The sequence below is a fragment of the Homo sapiens genome, chromosome 8 (assembly GCF_000001405.40).
Source record: "Homo sapiens chromosome 8, GRCh38.p14 Primary Assembly".
Classification (NCBI taxonomy): domain Eukaryota; kingdom Metazoa; phylum Chordata; class Mammalia; order Primates; family Hominidae; genus Homo; species Homo sapiens.
Window position 1 is genome coordinate 58419123 of NC_000008.11, and position 22633 is coordinate 58441755.

Below are 22633 nucleotides of genomic sequence, written 5' to 3' on the forward strand. Positions count from 1 at the left end.
AGAACTGAGTTTCCTTAAAATATATAGGTTGAGACGTAAACTGTGTTTAATCTGTTTATAATACAATGTATAGCAGATTGTTCGCAATCTTTTTTTCTACGTATGATATCTTCTAATGCTAAGTGTATACTTCCTTTGATTTCATATTCAATATCGAAATTTTCCCAGTTTCGTTGTATTTCTACAGGTCTGTTTGGTACAGAAAACAGTGCTTATTTTCATGGTCCACCTCCTTGGGCGGTATTTGAAATCAAAACAGTTATTGTCTCATTGTCATTTTAAGCCAAGACAGTTTCATTATCTGAAACTCTGGACATAAGATGGTCTGTGTTTTTAATTTACAAGAGGAGTTACGTAATCTACAGAAAGACCCTCAGGATATAGTCTGATGCCTGTTTTGACATATTCATCCATGAAAAGTTAAATATCACAATCAGAACTTGGATATGTCCTCCACAAGTCATTGTATAGTAGTATTGCTTTGAGAATTAAATGAGATAAAGTGAATAAGATGCCTAGCACAGAGTTGGTACTTAGCTGGGCCTTAAAAGGATTTAAGATATTAGGAGTTAGATAAGCACAGAAGACAAGGGACAAAATTCCAGGAACAGAGAGTCACATAATCAAAATGACCAGAGGAACCAGAAAAAGAACCAGCAGAACTTTAGTAGCTTAGTAGCAAATAAGGTTGGATAGATGGGGGTGCAGCCAGGAAGGCTTTCATAGGCATGTGACCTGTGCTATTGCACAAGGCCCCATGCTTAGAAGGGCCCTGTGCTTGGAGTAATGCTTTGCTGTTACTGTTTTGAAATTCTTAATTGGTTTTGAACAAGGGGACTCGATTTTCACTTTGCACTGGGTCTCACAAATTATGTAGCCAGTTGCGGATACAGCCTTGAAGACCAAGAAGATAAGTTGCCCCTGTGTAGAAGGCAGTGGAAAGTCAATTTGTCTTTTAATAAAAATTTAGTGACAAAACTATAATACAATGTTAAAAGCTTTGACTCAAGATGGATACATCTCAGTTGTAATTTTTTTGTTTTCATATAAGAAAATGGTTTTATTCCTAATTTTTAGTTCCCATACAGTTTACAAATACACTTTTACTCTGATAATACAGCTTTGCAACTAGCAAAGCAGTTGCGCTAACACCCATAAATATAGGTGGGGAGACAATTAACATCCACTAATGTTTCTCTACATAAAGTATTCTTTTAATGTCATTTTTTTAAAAAACAGTTGCAAATAGACTACATAATGTAAGTGGGCAAAAAGGCAATTAAGTGAATCTCTTGAAACACTAAATGTATAATAAACAGCATATTATCAACATTTACATGATTCACATCAAAATGATGACATCCTAAAACATATTCCCTTTAAAAGATTTATCAATAAAATATTAAATATCTTTTAATACTCTGGTACTTCATATACTGCAGGAAAATTAATTGTAGGTCTAGTCATCAGCTTAATCAGGGATCCTTTTCCCATTAGCTTTTATTAATAAAAGAATTACAATTAGGTCACAAATAAACAGACAAATTATTAATTACATGATTTGAGGCTTAGGATGAAAACTTGTCAAAATTAGTTTGATATACAGCAAAGTTATATGACCCACTAAAACCAACTGTTCAATAGTTTTTGCCTTGTGTGAACTGCCTGTAGTGAAAAAAGAACAAATTTTTAATGATGAAAGATACAATAAACTATATTTTGGAACTTTTCAAGAGGAAGAAGGAAAAGCTATTTCAATAAAATTAAGGGCAAATACAGATCCTGACAAAGGCATCCTGACATCAGGGAGGCCATGTGCTTGCTATATGTAAAACTTGATTCCCCCAACAACATACAGAAAATAAAAACTGCACTGGCTTTGTAGTTATGTCTACAGTCTAAGTTTCCCTTATGGATACTAAGCTAAAATAAAACACTTCACAATTGCAAACCTTTCCACATCCCCCTGAACTAAAAATAACTCAAGATATTATTAGTTTTAAAATCCCCAATAAAATTACCTCTAAAAACAATCTTGACCATTTTCTTGACTGTTTCCCCGAAGCAACTGGGCTCTTTAAAGAATGCACACACACCAAGAAAGTCCTACACATGTTTTCTCATCCCCATTTAGCCACATTTCAAAAGACCTTGATTTCAGTGGGAGAGATGACCATAAGTTTCAGGAAGGCCACACACTAGACATGAAGCACCTTTTAGTTTTTTTTTTTTTTAAAGCTATTAAGACTGTGAAATTTGTCTTTTTTAAAAAAACCCAATACCATGTGCCAGATAACTCTTTCACCCCAAAATATAAAATCCTATGCTTATAATTTTAAAACCCTCAGTGAGCTCTGGAATATTGTGCATATTTAATACCTACCAGCAACCTAGAAGTAGACAAATACCATGTATTTGTCATACCAACTTTCCAAATAACCTGACTCACCCATTACTGACTGGGCTCTCTCATTACTGGCCCTGGGCTCTCTCACTTCCTCAGCAACCACCTCTTTGGAACTTTAATTTCCACACCTTTTTTTAAAACCTGCACCTCAAGCTTTCTCCATCATCCCAGCCTCTCTGCCTGATTCCATCCCATGTAAAGTAACCTCATCTGAGAACCTGCAATCACCTTTTACCAAACACATGATAAGCCTTAGCAACCTAGGGACTATGATAACTCTGGCCTTGGCCTAAGGTTACATAAGAACATGATAGTTTGCTGACCTTGTGGAGGGAAATCTAAATGAAATCAATATAACAAACAAAGCTAGCCAAGATCAGGTATTTCCATTCTGAGTATAAAAGCAACTGATCTTAAGCAACGGGCAGAGATGTTAATACCGGAGATATATTTGTACAATCAAACTCTTGTGTGCTGGTGAAAGACTTTACCCCCAAAGTCAAGTCAAAACAAAACCAAAGCAAAATGGAGAATGAGTCAATGTAACAATGCAATAAAAAGAACAGGATTCAAGCTTCTTGCTGCAAATACTGAACTGGAATCTTTTTCTTTACAAGTTTTACTAGAAGACAGCAGTCATGACATTTCCCTAATAAGGGAATACCTTTAGGCCACACCCGTGTTCTGAAGCAATTCAAAGTTCAATGAATATTGGGGGGCAGGGATAGGGGCTGATACACATTTTGTTAGTGAGAATGGCAGCCAAACTAACTCAGGGTCTTAAGAGACTGAGAGACCTCAGAAAGGAACTACTACCAGGGCTGGATCTAGGCCTTCCTTTCAGGAGCCAAAGTCAGAAGAATCCGAGGAAACAATAACTTCACAGCAAAGATGCCACAGCATTTTATTACCATCACAAAAGTCAATTAATGATATTTTCATTGAAATATCCACACTCGATGATTCAACATATAAGGCGAAGAGGGATGTCTTTGGAAAAGGCACTTAAGGTGGAACATTAGCAAATCTTACCATTTGGCTAAAACAAAAATGATCTCGTTCAACCTGGCTGGAGGCCTGTTAGGGCTGTTCCTTCTCACTGTGGCCTGACTAAAAACCAGTGGCATTAAGAAAGAGTCACATTTCCCAAGTCTGGGAGTGCCCCAGTGGGGTGGTGCTGCTTTCAAAAGCCCTGAGTCCCTAAACACATCCATCCTCACAAGATCAGTTTCCCCAAGTGCTGGTTCCAAAAACAGGCTCAGGATTGGCAAAAATCATTCAGGAAGCTTCTTGAAGACCCTCTCTTTATTTCTCAGTCTTTCAGCTTGTCTCAGCTACTGTAAGCAGTTTTGGCTTCCCAAGGTCACTAGCAACTTCTGCTTTTGCTAATATCCTTGGTTTTCCATGGCAGTGGTTGTGACCGTCTGTTAGACTAGTGGCCTCCCAATTAACTGCACCTCTACTTCACACCCTTTTTTAAAATCTGGTCTGGGCATGTGACTTGTTTAGTAAGTAGAGGGCATACTCCAGCTCTCTTCTGGTGAGACGAAATCATCATCATCATCATCATCATCATCATCATCATCATCATCAATAGAGGGCAGTAGAAGGGAAGCTGCGACAATTCTGGACTTAAGTCTTCAGAAGGCCTGGCCACTTCTGCTTTTGAGCTCTTGGGAGCTCTGAGCTTCATGTCAGAGGTCTAGCTACCTGCCAGCCAGGCCACTGAAAGAGACTACACGAAGAAGGAGAGACTCAGGACTGCAGGCAGAAAGAGAAGCCCAGACATCCCAGTCTCTCCGCCAACCTGCTGACCATATGAGTGGCCACCTGCAGGCTGGCAGAAGAACAGCCCAGCTGAGCCCAACTCAAATTGAAGAACAGTTGGGGGTGGGTTTTTTTTTTGTTGTTGTTTTTTTTTTTTGACACGGAGTCTTGCACTGTCGCCCAGGCTGGAGTGTAGTGGCGAGGTCTCAGCTCACTGCAAGCTCCGCCTCCTGGGTTCACACCGTTCTCCTGCCTCAGCCTCCCAAGTAGCTGGGACTACAGGCGCCCGCCACCACGCCCTGCTAATTTTTTGTATTTTTAGTAGAGATGGGGTTTCACCGTGTTAACCAGGATGGTCTCGATCTCCTGACCTCATGATCCGCCAGCCTCGGCCTCCCAAAGTGCTGGGATTACAGGCGTGAGCCACCGCGCCCAGCCGGGGATGGGTTTTTTTTTTTAAGCCACTAAAGTTTTAGGGTAAGTTTGTCAGCAACATTTGACAACCAAAAACACTGGTCATTCATAGATGCCTTTTTTCTGAGTAGAAGACAGTTACTCAAATGCAAAGAAAATATGGCAAACGTTTTCCCACCACAACCTTCTCAGTCAAAAGCCAAACTGTAATTGGTCATCGGCTGGAAAAAAAAAAAGCTACACCTCTTAATTCATAAATATCCATGATTCCTTTTCTATGACTCTTCAATGCCAATGCAAAGGTAGACCAGTCAGCTTCTGACAGTCTCAGGCCCTAGCTTAATTCTCATTTGGCCAAAAATAGAAGCCATCAAAATGAATTATCCACTATTGGATACATGATGGTAAATGAGATTGTTCTCACTTTTCTAAGATGTTGTTACTTAATCTTCCCAAATCATTTCTTCTTATCCCCGACAATGAGGAAAAAAAAATTAAAACTGGTTAAGGTTATAAAAAGAAAAAAAAAAAAAAGCCTGTAACTAGAATTTGAATCCCCATAATCTGCAAAATATAGCACACAATTTAACTGCTTCCTCAATTTAAAACAAAATTCTATAAAATATAATGTCTACATAGTAGAGATGATTTCTTCTTATCTGAGGAAATGAGTAATTGGGAAGCAGGTATTGTTGAGTTAAAATACAGTGATCTTTAAATGGTTTCAAATTTTGCTTATCAAAAGGTAGTCAACCACAATGCAAGCCTTCCAAATCCAAATTTGGTCTTCACATAAACTTTCTTGCGAAAGTTTGATCTTTTTAGGGAGAGAGTGAAGTCCACATCTATTTTTGTGCTGAAGTTTTGGCAGATTTTCTCATCTGAAACTCTTCTGCTGTTGCATCAGGCCCACGTTTTCATACACTCTAGCACTGTCTGCTCTCATTTCTGCACAGCGTGGAGTTGGAGTACAAGGCGGGGGGGGGGGCTCTGATCTCCACTCGTCTGGTCCGCTAGAGAATACTTAATATTTGTATATTCATGACCTTTCCTCTTGCTTTTCTGCTCTTCTTCAATCCTGCGCTGTAGTGTTTCAGTATAATGCTGGACCGCCATATAGATAAATCGGTACTGTGTTTCTGTCTGGACCATCCCTGACCTCTGAGACTGCACCATCTGGATAGTTTTGAGAACGTCAATGTTGCAGTCAACACCTTTCTCTCTGTTGATGTCAGTCAGAATATCAATCACAACGTATGTCCCTGTCCGGCCAATTCCAGCACTGCCGTGCACCACGACTGGCCTTGCATGCATGATGCGTTCCTGCTTATGGTGCACCTCCTCCAGGAAGTCCAGCACACCCCTGGGGTCAATGGGCACTCCGTGGTCCGGCCAGGTCCAAAAGTGGTATTGCCAGACCATTCTCTCCATATTCCCTTGCCCAACCTTTGAAAGTTTAAGTTCTCTTAGCATATAGTTGTGAGCGGTGCTTTCTCTGATATTCCTAACACGCATGATGCCATATTCTTTTAGAGCATACTCATCAGGCCAGTATTTGACACATTTACTCTATCCTCTCTCCACTTCTTTCGTTGTCATGACAATCACTCAGGAGTTTTCTTGGAATACCATCCGCCAAAAGTCGTTCACCATGTTTTGCAGGCAGCCTTGTGTGGCAATGTAACTCTTCTTGGGCTTTGAATTGTTACACTTGGTTTCAAATTTGGGCATGATGATATTTGCATTGATGTCATCTGAAACAGGCTCGTTGGGATCACCATCGTGTAGGACAACCCTGGTATGATCAAAGGGCAGGTTATTTTTATATCTATTTTTGTTTTTGTTTTCTTGCCTTTTACCCTCTTTTCGGCCGTAGAGAAGTATGCACTCCTGTTGTTGTAGTGTCTCAAATTCTTCCGAAAAGCCTTGTTTGACTTTATTGTGGTCTCAGCTAATTTGCTTAGTTCTCGAATTCTGCTATTTCAGCAACATTTATACGAGTCGTGTTAAGGGGCTACGTGAGTTGTAGTACTGTACCCCATGTTTCCATCATAGGATTCTTCTTGTAATGTTCCACAAGATCTGTCAAAGAATCATACCGTTCTCCTCCACCAACATCGTATTTCAGTTCCTGACAGCAAATCATAACATGGGCCACTTTAGACTTGCCGTTATTGTTCTCCCCTTTGTCATCACTGGTGCGCACAGAGAGAACAAAATCTCCAAGGTGGCTCTGGCTCTCTCATACAAGAAAACTACCATGTTTTCCTTTTTCAGTTAATAATTTCTCTGCTTCTTTCCCAGAGAGGTGTCCCTGAAACCACCTTTCAGAGGCAGGATCTGCACAGTTCAGAGGATATTTAAGCTCAATAACATCTCCATTCTTCTCTTTTAATTGCCCGTGATGTTCTGTGTAATGCCGGACCAACTCAGCCAAAGTGGAAAATTTCTCCCCTCCACACAGATCACAGTAATCACCAGTGTTCTGAATCTTTTTTTTTTTTTTTTTTTTTTGAGACAGAGTCTCGCTCTGTCACCCAGGCTGGAGTGCAGTGGCATGATCTCGGCTCACTGTAAGCTCCGCCTGCTGGGTTCATGCCATTCTCCTGCCTCAGCCTCCTGAGTAGCTGGGACTACAGGTGCCTGCCACCATGCCCGGCTAATTTTTTTGTATTTTTTAGTAGAGACGGGGTTTCACCATGTTAGCCAGGATGGTCTCAATCTCCTGACTTTGTGATCCGCCCTCCTCAGCCTCCCAAAGTGCTGGGATTACAGGTGTGAACCACCGTGACCGGCCCAGTGTTCTGAATCTTGATGTGGGTGACAGCTCCATTTCTTCTAACAAAAAGTGTGAAGTCTCCAGGGTTACTTTTACTAGGCCTTGCCAAAAAACTGCTGTCAGCTCCTCTTATCAACAGTGGGTTTTCTGCCTCCACCCCAGTGATATTTGGGTGAAACCATCTCTACAATGTCATGTTCCTCCCACATTCCGGCTCCGTGACAGACCCGTTCCTTGCTCAGGCTCCACTGGGCTCGGTCACGTTGGGCTGGCCCGAGGGAGGCCCGCTCGGGACCAGATGCGGGGCGGAGCCAGCCGACTGTGCACAGACCCCCCTCCAGGCCTGGGGATCCTGGAGACTGTGCAGCCGCCCCCTAGGCTGGCTTGCTCCTCCTCCCTGTAATTTTTTTTTTCTCTGTCTTCTAATAAGGTTTTGCCAATTGGCAAGTTATTTAAACTCCTTCAGTCTTAGTTTTCTTACCTGTAAAATAGGAGTAATACCATTGTTAGGAGGATTAACTAAACACATAGTCATCCCTTGATAAATGTTAGCTATTACTATTCATTTAGGAAAATAGGACTGGCAATACTATATAAAATTAATGAGGATGGAGAGAACAGGATAAAGAGAGAAAGAAATCAAGACAGGAACAATTGAGGTAAACTAAGGAATGAGGTAATAAGATTTTGGATTCAAGGCCAAGGACGGTGGCTCACGCCTGTCATCTTAGCACTTTGGGAGGCTGAAGCATTGCAGATCGCTTGAGCTCACGAGTTCAAGACCAGCCTGGTTAACAGGGCTTAAACCCCATCTCTACAAAAAAATAGCCAAGCGTGGTGGTGCACGCCTGTAGTCCCAACTGCTCGGGAGGCTGAAGTGGCAGGATAGCTTGAGTCCAAGAGGTGGAAGTTGTAGTGAGCCAAGATCACGCCACTGCACTCTAGCCTGGGCAGTAGAGCCATATGTTGTCTCAAAAAATATATAAATAAATTTTGGATTGAGGTAGTGTCAATGGAACGGAGAGAAAAGGGTGAAATTAATGCAGGATATTTTAAAGGTGTTCATTGTAGAAATGTAATGACATGGGATATAGGGAGTAAGCCAGTGGGAAAGAGGGAAGACTTAAATGTTTTAAATTTGGGATACAGGAAAAAGTGTGATTGTTAATGGGAGGGCTTATGTGTAGAAATAGCTTCAGTTTTGGAGATGAACTTGAGTGAAGTAGAACTATCTAGCAGGTGCTTTTAAATTCAACACTGGACCATAAGTGAGTGGTAAAAGCACATATTTCAGAGTCATCTGTATAGGAAGAGGTTATCTTTGGCAGTGGATAAATATTTTGATGATGACATGAGCTTAAATAGAGGGGAATTGAAGTCAAGGATATGGGCATATTTATGTAAGAGGAGGAGGAAGAAAACTCAGTAAAATAGAGAAGGAGATGTTGGATCCCATTGGGCAAAGAAACAAACAATTTTGGTATGAAAGTCCAGGAGAGAGTTCAACTATGAAACAGCGAAAGGGAGAAGAAGGATAGGCTCAAAAGGATCAAATGTTTCAGAAAGTGTTTAATAACTGAGGGAAGTCTTTTGTGTTTGGCAATGAGAAGATAACTCAGAACCTTTGAGTATTCAGTAGCAAACCTTGAGATTCAGTAGCACAATGGGAGCAAAAATCTTACCACAGGGAGTAAATGCACGGGAAAGATGGGTACCAGTCGCAGATAATATGTTTAAGGTTTGGGTAATCATCATTAGGATCTAAAAAGATTGAAACCGCTCAACTCTTCTGAAGTTGGGAACATTATCAGTGGGTAACCCCTATCACAATTTTCATTCAACTTGTACTGGAGGTTTTAGTCAGCACAATGAGATTAGAAAAACAAAAGTATACAAATTGGAAATAAATAAAGCTCATTATGTGTAATGACATAATTGCATACAAAGAAAACTGTAAAAGACTGATTCTTTTTCTGATTCCTCTGGTCATTTTGATGTTTTCCTCCTGTGTTCCTCTTCATTCCTAGAATTTTGTCCCTTGTCCTCTGTGCTTATCTAAGTCCTAATGTCCTAAATCCTTTTAAGGCCCAGCTGAGTACTAATTCTGTACTACAGATGCCTATCTTTTATTCCTTTTCACTTATATTTAATAAGTTAGTTTGAATGAGTATAGAGAATTACTTCAGCAATCAATAAATATTTTTGCCCCAAACATTCATGAAGAATTAAAGTTGAGGACTTACACTGCTGCATGCAAAGACTTATTGTAAAGCTGCAATGGTTAAGAGAGTAAGAACTGACAGTAGACCATGGACCAAAATACGAGAACTCAAGAATCATAGGCAACTTGATTTATGACAGTGCAGAGCAGTGAGGGGCAGAATTTCATTAGGTGGTACTGGGACAAATGGACATTTATGTAGAGAAAAAATAGTTCTTGTCCTCTACCTTATACCACCTATAAACGTCAGTTCCATATGGGTTGTGGATCTAAATATAGAAATTAAAACAAATTTCTGGAAGAAAATAGAATATCTTTATGACCTTAGAGTAGGCAAAGATTTCAAATAATAAAAACCGTTAACCGTAAAGGAGATAGGAAATCATTTGCTATGACCGATTTTTGCGGTAAGGTCTTTCTCACTAAGACTGAGATAAAAAGGAATGATTATTCACTTTGCCAGATTAGAGATGTGGAAAGCCTTGAAGGTGACTTCCATTCCTCGTTTCCAGGGCACTCCAGAGAGGGGAGGAGTGTTACGGCAGCAGACAGCTGCAGCAGGAAGTGTTGCTTTGCTTTTCTGTGTTTGTCGTCGCTCCCTAAAATAATCTGCTTCTAACACTAAGGCTTGTCTTAAAAGCCAACTAGGGCAGTGTTCAACCTTGCTTGCTACTCTGGACCCTTGAGTGTAAGCTTGGGACAAGGGCTTCCATAGGCTCCTGCTCTAGATAAATTTGGGCCCAGTGTACTTCTCCAGAGCACTGGCAGGATGAAGCCCCACCTCCACCTTCTGCAGTTTGTGGGGTTTAGTAGGGTTCTCCTGGTGTCTCCTTGTTCTCCATCCTGATGGATCTTTTCCTTCCTTTACTGCAAAGTGAGAGCTGGTCTGTTCTTTCCTCTATCTTACTCAGTTTTGCATATTCTAATTTAGGAGAAAGCCTTGAAGGTGAATTCCATTCCTAGTCTCCAAGGCAGATATCATTTCCCCCCATTGTTTTGTTCTATGTGTCAGTTCAGTGTGAATTTGGAATTGGATTGGAGAGTTATAAGTATTTTAACAACTGAAGTTTGATTGTCATCTTACCCTGGAAGTCTCCATGTTGATACTTCATTGTTTATAGTTTCTGATATTCTTGATAGAAAAAAATCTTGAAAGATAAAAGTAGGTTATTAATCTTACGTAAAGGTAATTTTTATGTTTCCTAGGACCATTTATGAAGTTGGAGTCAAAGTAGAAATTGGTCGCCAAAAAATTACTGTCTAAATTATTTACTTTTAACAAACGCAGGGGCTTTTAAGGGAGTAGGTCTCTTAAATCCAAAAATCTCTGAAAGATAAATCCTCTCTAGATAACCCTTTAGTTTAGAATTAGCTGTTTATACTGTCTAAATCTAAAGATCTCGTCACTAACTAGGTCTCTACTGAGTGTGGCCTTCTTAGGGAGAAGGGACTATCTTTTGACTGTTGACACTGCTTTTCCTTCTACATCAGAAGTGCTGAATTAGTGAATGAGATGTATGTGATAAGCAGTTACAGAAGGCTGAGGGATCAGCAAGCAAGCCAGTTGCCGTGCTGGAGGCTGAACTTGCCCTTAGAATCAATCTTTGCAAACTCAGTGAGAAAGTATATGATTTCCTATTTATTATACTTTTCCTTAATCCCATTTTAAAAATTAAATATTCTCATAGAAGTCAAAATAATGCCTCTTTTTAAATAAAATACTTTTATTTTCATAAGACTATGTAGCTTTTTACTTCAGTTTATGTCTGTTATCCTAAGTTTTTATTCATGAACTAAAATGTTTAAAGGTTTTACTCAAGTGAACATGAATACAGTGGATTAAATATAGTTCGACCTTCAACTGGGAAAATTGTGAATGAACTTTTCAAAGAGGCAAGGGAACATGGGGCTGTCCCTCTGAATGAAGCCACAAGAGCTTCAGGTGATGATAAATCTAAGGTCAGTGCTCAATTTTAAACTAAATACATTGTTTCTATATTTTACCTCCTCTTTCATTTTTCTATTATTTGCAAACATTGTTTTTCTAATTGTATATTTCTGTTTTAAATATTTGTTTCATTTTTATAAAATTATAATATTTCTATTAATGATTGAAAGTTGAGACAATTTCTTACATTTCTGAACAACTTTTTAATTTACCTTTTAATTACAAAATAATTAGTAGAGTCACAGGCATTTGCAAAAAGAATACAGGGAGGTTTCATGTACCTTTCACTTCAATGGTTTCCCCCAATGGTTCCCCCCAATGGTTACGTTTCACATGATTGTAGTATAATATGAAAGCCAGGAATTTGGCATTTCTCTCTGTCTATGTCCTTTTATCACATGTGTAATCACCCAACTGAAACTCTCCTTCATAGCCTACCATTTGCACTCACACCCACCCCGTCTCTCATGCCATCCCTAACCTCTAGCCAATACCAGTCGGGTTTTCATCTCTATAATTTTATCATGTTAAGAGTGTTAAACCAGCCGGGTGTGGTGGCTCATGCCTGTAATCCTAGCACTTTGGGAGGCCGAAGCAGGCAGATCACAGTTCAAGACCAGCCTGGCCAACATGGTGAAACTACAGTGTTATACAAATGGAGTCATACAATATGTGACCTTTTGGAATAGCTTTTTTCACTTGGCATAATGCCCTTCAGATCTGTCAGAGTTATTGCTTGTATCACAACTTTGTTCCTTTTTAATTCCCGAGTAGCATTTTATATAGATATACCACAGTTTAACCATTCATTTATTGAGGGATATTTTAGTTGCCAGCTTTTGACTATTACAAATAAAGCTGCTGTGAGCAATTGGGTACAGGTTTTTTTACTCACTTATGGTTTTATTTCTCTGAGATAAATGCTCAGAAGTGCAATTGGTAGATCATACATTAAGTGTATGTTTAGTTTAAGAAACAGCCAAACTATTTTCCAGAGTGGTTGTGCCATTTTATATTCCCACATATATGAGAGAGCAAGTTTCTCTGCATCCTTTTCAGCACTTGGTATTGTCACTATTTTTAATTTTAGCCATTTTGATGGGTGTATAGTGATAACATGCCATGGTTTTATTTTATTTGTCTAATAACTAATGATGTTAATTTGCATTTTCTTAATAGCTAGTGATGAACATCGTTTCATGTGCTTCCTTGCCATTATCTGTATTATTCTTTTCAAGGAAATATCTCTTCATTACTTTCCCATTCTCTAATTGGATTATTTTGTTACTGTTGAGTTTTGAGAATTCTTTGTATATTTTAATAGGTATGGGTCCTTTGTCAGATACATGGTTTGTAAATATTTTCTCTCAGAATGTCATTCATATTTTTATCCTCAGCAGGATTTTTCACTAAGGAAAAGCTATAAACTTGGATAAAGTCCAATTTATTCCTTTTTTTTCTTTTATGGATCATGCTTTTGCTGTATTGTCTAAGAACTTTTTACTTAACTGTAGGTCCCAAATATTTTCTCCTTTGTTATCTGGAAAAATGTTACAGCTTTACATTTAAAGCTATGATCTATTTGAATTTTTTATATAAGGTGTGAGGTTGACACCAGAGTTTATTGTTTTGCTTATGGATGTCCAGTTGCTCCAGCATCACTTCTTGAAAGGCACTCCTTTCTCCATTGAATTGCTTTTGTACCTTTCTAAATTTCTTTTTTTTTTTTTTTTTTTTTTTTTGAGACAGGGTCTCGCTCTGTTGCCCAGGCTGGAGTGCAGTGGCACCATCTGGGCTGACTGCAAGCTCCGCCTCCCGGGTTCACACCATTCTCCTGCCTCAGCCTCCAGAGTAGCTGGGACTACAGGCACCCGCCACCACACCCAGCTAATTTTTTGTATTTTTAGTAGAGACGGGGTTTCACCATGTTAGCCAGGGTGGTCTCGATCTCCTGACCTCGTGATCCGCCTGCCTCGGCCTCCCAAAGTGCTGGGATTACGAGCATGAGCCACCTCTATACAGCTTTTATAATTGTTACCAACTGACACAATATTGATATACTAAAGACGAACAGTTACGTGTCTTTTGTGGTATCATTTCATACATTCTTACAAGTAGCATTTCTCAACCTGGAATTTCTCCATCAGAATCATTTGGGGAGGTTATCTAAACTACCTGATGGCTTCAGGTATTATGGTTCAATAAATTTGGGATATGCCTAGAAACGTGTCTTTTTAAAAAAGCCTCTATGATAATTTTGACATCCATTGTTGAGAACCACTGCTGTAATGAAACTTAAATTTTGGTTTTCATTTCATTATTCGTCAATGGTTTGAAATGATCTTTTAGTCAAGTCTTATGGTAATTTTGGTTCTTGAAGGCTCCCCAGTATGAGCCACTTTGGCTAATTAGAATTAATCTAGTTTTAAAATACATATCACATAATAACTTTTTGCTGAATAATCCTTTGTGAATTTTAACTCACTTGCTATGTATTTTAGTCATTTACAGGTGGAGGATACAGATTGGGTAGTTCTTTTTGTAAGCGGTCTGAATATATCTATGGAGAAAATCAGCTGCAAGATGTAGGTACAATAATCAAAATGAAAAAGTATAAATATTTGCTTCTAGTTACTAAAACTGTTGGTTTTAAAATTAAGAATTGATAATACAAATATATTTTTGTTACTTTTTAAAACATGGGTTAAAAGGACCAATGATGTGTGAGTTTTCAGTCTCGATCTTTATGTTTTGTATCACAATTATGCCTTGCACTTAGAGATATGGAACTATTTGTTGAAAGAATGTGTGATTCATTTTCCAAATGAATTTGCAGCCAGGCGTGGTGACATGCATCTGGAGTCCCAACTACTCCAGAGGCTGAGGTAGGAGGATCACTTGAGCCCAGAAGTTCAAGGCCAGCCCGGAAAACATAGCCAGACCCTATCTCTTTAAAAAAAAAAAAAAAAAAAAGGTGTTTAAAAAAATGAACTTGGGCCAGGCACAGTGGCTCACGCCTATAATCCTAGCACTTTGGGAGACTGAGGTGGGCAGATTGTTTGAGCCCAGGAGTTCGAGACCACCCTGGGCAACATAGTAAGACCCTGGATCTTTAAGATAAAAAAATCAATTAAAAAAAGAAAAATGAACAAATATATAGTTATTATTATAAATGGTATATTTTCATAATCTAAAATGAGGTGAGGTGTAAATGAAGAACACCTAAAGTCATTCTTTGTTTCTGTTGCCTTTTGAAATTTTGGAGTTTTAATTTTATTTTAGACATTGATAGTTTCTTGGAAGGTCACTGGAAATTCTGTTCCCCTTAGGATGAATATTTAAGCTCTGTAGCAAAGAAGAGTATGGGTGCAGATGAAGGAAAATGAAGGAAGTGGGAATCATGGAGTACAGCTCTTCTCATTGCTTTCATTTTCTTGTGAACCATCCACCAATAATTGTACTTCGAGGCCAGGGTCCACCTGCAGGACCTTTGGTATTTGCAGCCATTGTCAGTTTGTTAAGCTGAATGCAAACTAGCTAAACAAACACATGTGGTTTCATTAATGTCTTTCACTATGAATAAAGAATAGTAGAAATAACTCCCTATTTTAAATTAAGTAAATACGTTTTAGGATATCACATTTGGAACTTAAAATTATTTGGGGGAGATATATTCTTATGTATATGTGAATATATATATATATATATATATTTTTTTTTTTTCTATACCCAAAAGGTTCAGATTTTGCTTAAACTGTGGAGCAATGGTTTCAGTTTAGATGATGGAGAATTGAGACCTTACAATGAACCAACAAATGCTCAATTTCTGGAGTCTGTTAAGAGAGGGTAAGATGTATTATTTGTATTCTATTTGTTATGTAGAGTGGGACTTATTTTCTTAACAGACTACTCATTATTAGTGCACTACGGGTTTTCAAGAAGTAGTTCCTGGAATATATTAAATAAATGGTTGCTGGGGGTGTAGGTATTCTTAAGTTTATAAAGGATATACTGCTATCTGTATGTAAGTCACTGGTTCTTAATTTTGTGGGCCAGGGGCATTGGACATTGGCCCATTTTAAAATCTGATGAAACTATGAACCCAGCTCCAAGAAGAAACATCTTAATGTGATAATCAGTGAATTAATTAGTATGTAGCTGCCCACCCACTAAGCCACTGTCCTGCTTACTGTTGACAGGGTGACTCTCATTGCATGTATGCCTGAAATTCAGCAACTTATGTTAGAAATCTTTTAATGTGGCATTACTGCTGGCAGAAGATTTCAAAAGGTTAGTTTGAAGTTATAATTTGTGAAAGTAAACTCAGATATTCAGTGCTCTCACCCATCCAAAGAACATTGTAACTTACCAGCTCTTCTTGCTAAAGGATGAGGAATCAAGTGATTTTGCTATGATAATAAAAGCTTTTCTGTGTTATGATTAAACTAGCTGAAAGTGGAGTTATTTCTAAGTAGATATGCAACTAAAGACATAAAGTTGAGCATAAACTGGGGAATTAAGTTGTAGGAAAGGATCAGAGTTTTACTGTATATAACCAGAGTTATATATACAGGGTTATACTCCATAAAGGAATAGAAGGTGGAACATTTCCAAATGTTGAAATATGTCCAGGATGAGTGGCTGACATGGAGTGGAGGTTAAATTCGTCTTTTAGAAGACTAATTAGCATGAATTTTGAATTTAAATTATATACAGATACTGTCAGGATACCAAACAAAGGCAACAAATGCCCTAAGAAGTATGCTGAAGGCATTGGGAAAGGTGGGAAGCTGTCCTAGGAGGCAGTATATGGGGGTGGCAAATACAGGATATAATGGTTTAAGTCAATCCTGTGGACTTGGAAACCTGCAGAATCACTGGGAAGAGCTGCGAGCAACTAGGTGGGGGAAGTTTTGATTGGCTAAGCGAAAACCAACATAACTGTAGAAATTGATACTAATTTCAAGATAGTGGAAACAAAGAACATATTGAGAATGAATGTTCTGTTATATAGATAAAAACTAATTTATTGTTAAATGAAAATAAACCACAAACTTTGTAGGCTAATGTTTAAACAAATGTGGTATATTAAAAGAATTTTAAAATTTGAGCCACACCATATCTGCAATAATGTACAAATTATGATCAATAAGAGTTTTAGAAAAGACTCTAAAGAAAATGAGTAATGTCAGGTAGTGGTTCTCAGCTATGTAAGACCCATTGTCTCCTTTTTATAAGAAATATTTTGTAAAACCATCTACACTATCCTCAAAGAAGAACTCATAGATAATATAATCTATGTACATGATTCTCCAAAAGAAATTAATATATGTTCTACCTTAAATATATTGAAGAAATAAAGTAATTTATTATAAAATGATACATGTTTTAGTTTATAAATGCCCTGGTATGACCACACAGCACACCTAAGAAGTAGTTAGTTTGTACCTCTGTGCAGTCTAGCACTTCCTATGTAAATGTGACAGGTATAAAAACAGAAAAATGAAGTATATGAGGTTGTCAGCTTAATTACTACAAGTAGCATTGCATTCAAGGACTTGGTAAAGGTCCAAACAAAACAAAGTACAATCTTCCCTCACTTTACATGGTCGTAAAGTGGACTTTACTTCCTGGAGATTTCAAAGTATATTAATACAATAGCCTAAAAAATGTGTTTTGCTTGTATATGAGACAGAGTTAGGTTTTAGGATCAGACAGTATTATCCACGTGACTCCCTGGAGGGCACATGATGATTCTTTGGAACCCAAGATGAGTCTTTATCACGTAAGACAAATCTCCTGTTGCAGTGCATCTGACATCCCCTACCTCGACACTGAATGACAGCAGTGCTCACAGATCACACCATGATGTTTAGATGGTTTAGATGTTTTGTCCTCCTCAAATCTCATGTTGAAATGTGACCTCCACTGTTGGGGGTGGGCCTGTGGGAGGTGTTTGGATCATGGGGTGGATCCCTCACAAATGGCTTGGTGCCATCCCCATGGTAATGAATGAGTTCTTCTTCTGGCAGTTCAAGTGAAAGCTGATTGTTTAAAAGAGCCTGGAACCTCCCCTTCTCTCTTGCTTCCACTCTTGCTGTGTCATACACCAGGTCCCCCTTTGCCTTCTACCATGATTGTAAGTTCCCTGCGGCTTCACCAGAAGGAGAATCTGGTACCATGCTACTTGTACAGCCTGCAGAACCATGAGCCAAAATAAACCTTTTTGCTTTATAAATTACCCAGCCTCAAGTATTCCTTTATAGCAGTACAAACAGACTAATACAGAAAATTGGTACCAAGGAGTAGGGCATTGCTCTAAAGATACATGAAGATGTGGAAGCATCTTTGGAACTGGGTAATAGGCAGTGGTTGGAAGACTTTGGACGTCCTTGAAGAAGATAGGAAGACAAAGGAAAATTTGGTACTTCTTAGAGACTTCTCAAGTGGTTGTGACCAAAGTATTGATAGAAATATGGACAGTGAAGTCCAGGCTGATGAGTTCTCAGATAGAAATGAGGAAGTTATTGGGAACTGGAGTAAAGGTCAGCCTTGTTACACCCTAGCAAAGGACTTGTCTGCGTTGTGTCCATACCCTAAGGCTTTGTGGAAGGTTGAACTAAAGAGTGATGATCTAGGGTACCTGGTGGAAGAAATTTCTTTTTTTTTTTTTTTTTTTTTTTTTTTGGAGACGATTCATGCTCTGTCACCCAGGCTGGAGTGCAGTGGCGCGATCTAGGCTCACTGCAACCTCCACCTCCCAGGTTCAAGCAATTCTCCTGCCTCAGCCTCCCAAGTAGGTGGAATTACAGGTGCTCACCACCACGCCTGGCTAATTTTTGTATTTAGTAGAGATGGGTTTCACCATCTTGGCCAGGCTGATCTTGAACCCCTGACCTTATGATCCACCTGCCTTGGCCTCCCAAAGTGCTGGGATTACAGGCGTAAGCCACCATGCCTGGCCCTGGTGGAAGAAATTTCTAAGCAGCAGAACATTCAAGAGGCTTTGTGGCAACTTCTAACAACCTGTGGTCAGACATAGGAGCAAATAAATGATTTAAAGTTGGAACTCATATTTAAAAGAGAAGCAGAGCCCGTTGAAGTTTGGAAAATTCTCATCCTGGCTATGTAGTAGAGAAGGAGAAAGTGTTTTCAGGAGAAGAATACAAGCAGGCTGTGGAGCAACCACTTGATAGAGAGATTTGCATGAATAGAAGAGAGCCTAGCCTAGTGCTACTAATCAAGATGATGGGAAGAAAGCCTTGAAGGCATTTCAGAGACCTTTAAGGCAGCCCCCCCCCCAACCCCCATCACAGGCCCAGAGTCCTAGGAGAAAAGTGTAGTTTTGGAGGCCAAACTTGGGGCCCAGCTGCCCTGTGCAGCCTCTGGACACTGTTCCCAGCATCCCAGCTGCTGCATCTCCAGCCGCAGCTCAAAAAGCCCCAGGTATAGCTTGGGCCTCCACTCGCTCTGAAGGGCACAAGCCACTACTGTAAGCCTTGGTGGCTTTCGCATGGTGTTAAGCCTACAGGCACACAGAATGCACAAGTGAAAGAGGCATGGGAGGCTGCACCTAGATTTTAGAGGGCCACGCCAAAGGGAAATGTGAGGTTGGAGCCCCCAGACAGAGTCCCCACTGGTGCACTGCCTAGTGGAGCTGTTGGAAGGGAGGTGCCACCTCCAGACCCAGGAATGGTGGCGCCACCAGCAACCTGAGCCTGGAAAAGCCACAGGTCCTCACCTCCAACCCATGAGAGAAGCCACAGGGCCAGAGCTGCCCAAAGCCTTGGAAGCCCACCTCTTGCACCAATATGCCCTGTATATGGGACGTGGCATCAAGGATTATTTTGGAGCTTTAAGATTTAATGTCTGCCCTGCCGGGTTTCAGACTTCTGTGGGGCCTGTTGCCTCTTTCTTTTGGCAGATCTCTCTTTTGGAATGGGAATGTTTACCCAATGCCTATACCACCATTCTATCTTAGAAGTAAATAGTTAATTTTTTATCTTACAGGATTATAGGTAGAAAGAAGATGGCTTGAATCTCAGATGAGATTTTGGACTTTTGAGTTAATGCTGGAACGAGTTAAAACTTTGGGGGACTATTGAGAAGGGATGATTGTATTTTGTGATGTGAGAAGGACATGAGATTTGGGGGGCCAGTGGTGGAATGATATGGTTTGGATGTTTTGTCCCCTCCAAATCTCATGTTGAAGTGTGACCTCCATTACTGAGGTGGGGCTGGTGGGAGGTTTTGGATCATGGAGGCAGATCCCTCATGAATGACTTGGTGCCATCCCCATGGTAATGAGTTCTCACCCCGGTAGTTCACTCAAGAGCTGGTTGTTTAATAGCCTGGAACCTCCCATCTCCCTCTTGCTTCTGCTCTTGCCATGTGATATGCTGGGTCCCCTTTTGCCTTCCACTGTGATTGTAAGTTTCCCGAGGTCTCACCAGAAGCAGATTCTGGTGCCTTGTTGCTTTTACAGCCTGCAGAACCATGAGCCAAAGTAAACCTCTTTGCTTTATAAATTACCCAGCCTCGGATATTTCCTTATAGCAATGCAAATGGACTAGTACACCCAACAAGCAAAAACACCCATATCAATTTTCAGAACTTTCTCCGAGGAGTTTATTAATAAATATCCACATTACCTTTTTATCCTCATAGGAATTTTCTAGTGCTGATTTACATATAAATTGCTGTCTTAAAATTTAACTTTCTAAATACCAGAAGCTCTCCAAGATAATTGTGACAACCAAAGCATCCCTATGTTGAGAACCAGTAAGGAGTAATGTGAAGTGACTTTAAAAAAGATCTACAAGGACTGATCAGTCATTATGGAAATTTTTGTGTTATAATTTAAGCAAAAAATTCTGTTTTCCAGTGTAGCTCATGAAATAATTACAGTAATCTCAACAGTGTAGTTTAATTCTTGGAAAACTTAATGATAACTTTTTTCCCCCCTTTTTAAAAGAGAGATTCCCCTGGAGCTTCAGCGCCTTGTTCATGGTGGCCAAGTGAATTTGGATATGGAGGATCATCAGGATCAAGAATACATAAAACCTAGATTGAGGTTCAAGGCTTTTAGTGGAGAAGGGCAAAAACTTGGAAGGTAAAAATCCTAAAATGAGAAAAATACCTTTGTTGAACATGAATTTTTCTTTGAGAATAAGAAAAGCAAAATGACCTATGAAGTAAAAAACAAAAATATGAACCATGCACATTAGATATATACATCTGTTAATATTATATCATAATATTATATCATGTGATACCATTATATCATAATATTAATTGTGATATTAATAATACTGTAATTAATACTTAGATTGCAGTTACCATGTTTGTGGCCCTCTAAGCCGTATACATGTGTTATCTCACTTAATCTTTACAACAGCTCTTTGATGTAGATACTGTTATTACTTCATTTTGCAGATGCAGTAATTTGCCCAAGATTGTTGAGCTAAGAAATGACTAGCATGTGGGATTCAAACCCAGGCACTCTGACTACAGAGTTTGTGCTTTTCACCACTATATTATATGCCTCTTTCAGATTACCTGGTTTCAAAGGAGAGAATTGTAAAGGGTTGTCGATGAGATAAAATAATGGATACCTTACATCACAACTTAAGCATGCATGTCTGCCATCAGTAATGACCAAACTCTTGCAGCAGGAGCAATGTGCTTAGCTTTGTGATTTTCAATAGTTTTTAAACAGCCAAACCCTTTTTTCAAGTCATGGAAGTGCAATATGTAAAACCTGAGCTCCTCTGATTGTCGGTGAAAGAAGGCATTGTATCTGAGACATTTCCAAAGAACCTTAGGACTTTGAAGAGCACAATTTAAAAACCAACGCACATGGCAGAATGTATGAGTGGTTTCCTTTATAATACCCATGGCTTAATGTAATCTTAGAAATTTAAAATATGTTGGTAAAAGTTACCCTCTACTCGTCCACATATTGTTGCAGGTGATATGGAATTGCCACATTGGCAATGTTTCCAGTGTATTCTTTGGTGCATCCTTTGCTTCTCTTCATGTGATTCCTTCCCTTCCAAGCCCCCTTCAGTTGCCTCGTGTACACTGGTTGTCTATTCTCCCCTTATTTTTCAAGATAGGAAAAAATTCAATATTGCTTCTTTATGCTTTGCTATCTCTAGTCTCCCTTTCTGTATTCTCTTCTCCTGATAGAGACTGGCACTGGGGACATAAAGGAAATACAGGAATTTATGTTGACCTGTTTTTCTTAGGACACAAACTCTTTAATTTTAGGTCACAGGTTTACTTGGAAATTTTCTCCCTCGTCTCTCTTTACACGTCAGGCTTCTCTTTCTTTCTCTTTTTTTTTTTTTGAGATGGGGTCTTGCTCTGTTGCCCAGACTGGAGTACAGTGGTGTAGTCATAGTTCACTGCAGCCTTGACCTCCTGGGCTCAGGCAAGCTTCCTACCCCACTCTCCTGACTGGGACTATAGGCACTGCCGAGCGCAGCTCATTTTTTTTCATTTTTAGGTTTTGTAGAGACACGTGTCTTACTATGTTGCCCAGGCTGGTCTTGAATTCCTGGCCTCAAGCTGTTCTTCTGCCTTGGCCTGCCAAAGTGCCTGGGTTACAGGCATGAGCCACTATGCCTGGCCAGGCTTCTCTCAAATTGTATAATATTATGTTTTTACTCCTCTTGTTGTGATCAACATATATATATATATATATATGTATGTGTATATATATGTATGTATGTGTATATATAGTATGTATGTATGTTCTTAATTTTGTATCACTTCCCATTTTTACTTAATATTTATTGAGATTACGATTTTTAATTAGAATGCAGATAAAATGCCTAGTCATCTCTTCAATATATACATATTCCTTCTCTATTATTTAAATGTATGACCAAGAATTAATGTTGGACCGCACATCCTTGTTAGTAGACCTACAGTAAATCTAGACTTGGAATTGAAGAAGGTAGCATAAAGGGAAGGCAGCTAAGAAGAGCCAGTGATTATTAAACTCATGAAAATAACGATATTATCTGATGATAGTATTCACAAAGGCCAGTCATTTTCCTTATAAGGCAAATAGAGAAAATAACAGAAAAG

At 39.2% G+C, this 22633-nt stretch overlaps 1 protein-coding gene and 1 pseudogene across 4 annotated transcripts in view, besides 2 other annotated features; one reads left to right on the forward strand and one right to left on the reverse strand.

The window, feature by feature from the left end:
- The window catches only part of UBXN2B (UBX domain protein 2B), a 40141-nt gene that overhangs the window by 7762 nt on the left and 9746 nt on the right, over positions 1–22633 (forward strand). The window contains exons 3-7 of one of the 4 annotated variants that reach the window (NR_156456.1): positions 11397–11547; positions 14038–14121; positions 15273–15382; positions 15736–15826; positions 20511–20648. Coding sequence is in view for 3 of the 4 variants with exons in the window: in NM_001077619.2 (NP_001071087.1) it covers positions 11397–11547; positions 14038–14121; positions 15273–15382; positions 20511–20648 (483 nt within the window). In the remaining variant the exon portion in view is untranslated. Of the gene's footprint in view, positions 1–11396; positions 11548–14037; positions 14122–15272; positions 15383–15735; positions 15982–20510; positions 20649–22633 lie in introns of those variants that run through there. The other 3 variants (NM_001077619.2, NM_001330535.2, NM_001363181.1) reach the window with 3 other exon arrangements.
- Positions 5871–7728, reverse strand: PTPN11P2 (PTPN11 pseudogene 2; annotated as a pseudogene).
- Positions 18591–19091: an enhancer, noted in NCBI's record as "H3K4me1 hESC enhancer chr8:59350272-59350772 (GRCh37/hg19 assembly coordinates)". NCBI's record gives its function as "activates a minimal SCP1, AML or CMV promoter by ChIP-STARR-seq in naive H9 embryonic stem cells {active_cell/tissue: H9 hESC(naive)}" and the evidence as "EXISTENCE:reporter gene assay evidence [ECO:0000049][PMID:30033119]".
- Positions 19092–19592: an enhancer, noted in NCBI's record as "H3K4me1 hESC enhancer chr8:59350773-59351273 (GRCh37/hg19 assembly coordinates)". NCBI's record gives its function as "activates a minimal SCP1, AML or CMV promoter by ChIP-STARR-seq in naive H9 embryonic stem cells {active_cell/tissue: H9 hESC(naive)}" and the evidence as "EXISTENCE:reporter gene assay evidence [ECO:0000049][PMID:30033119]".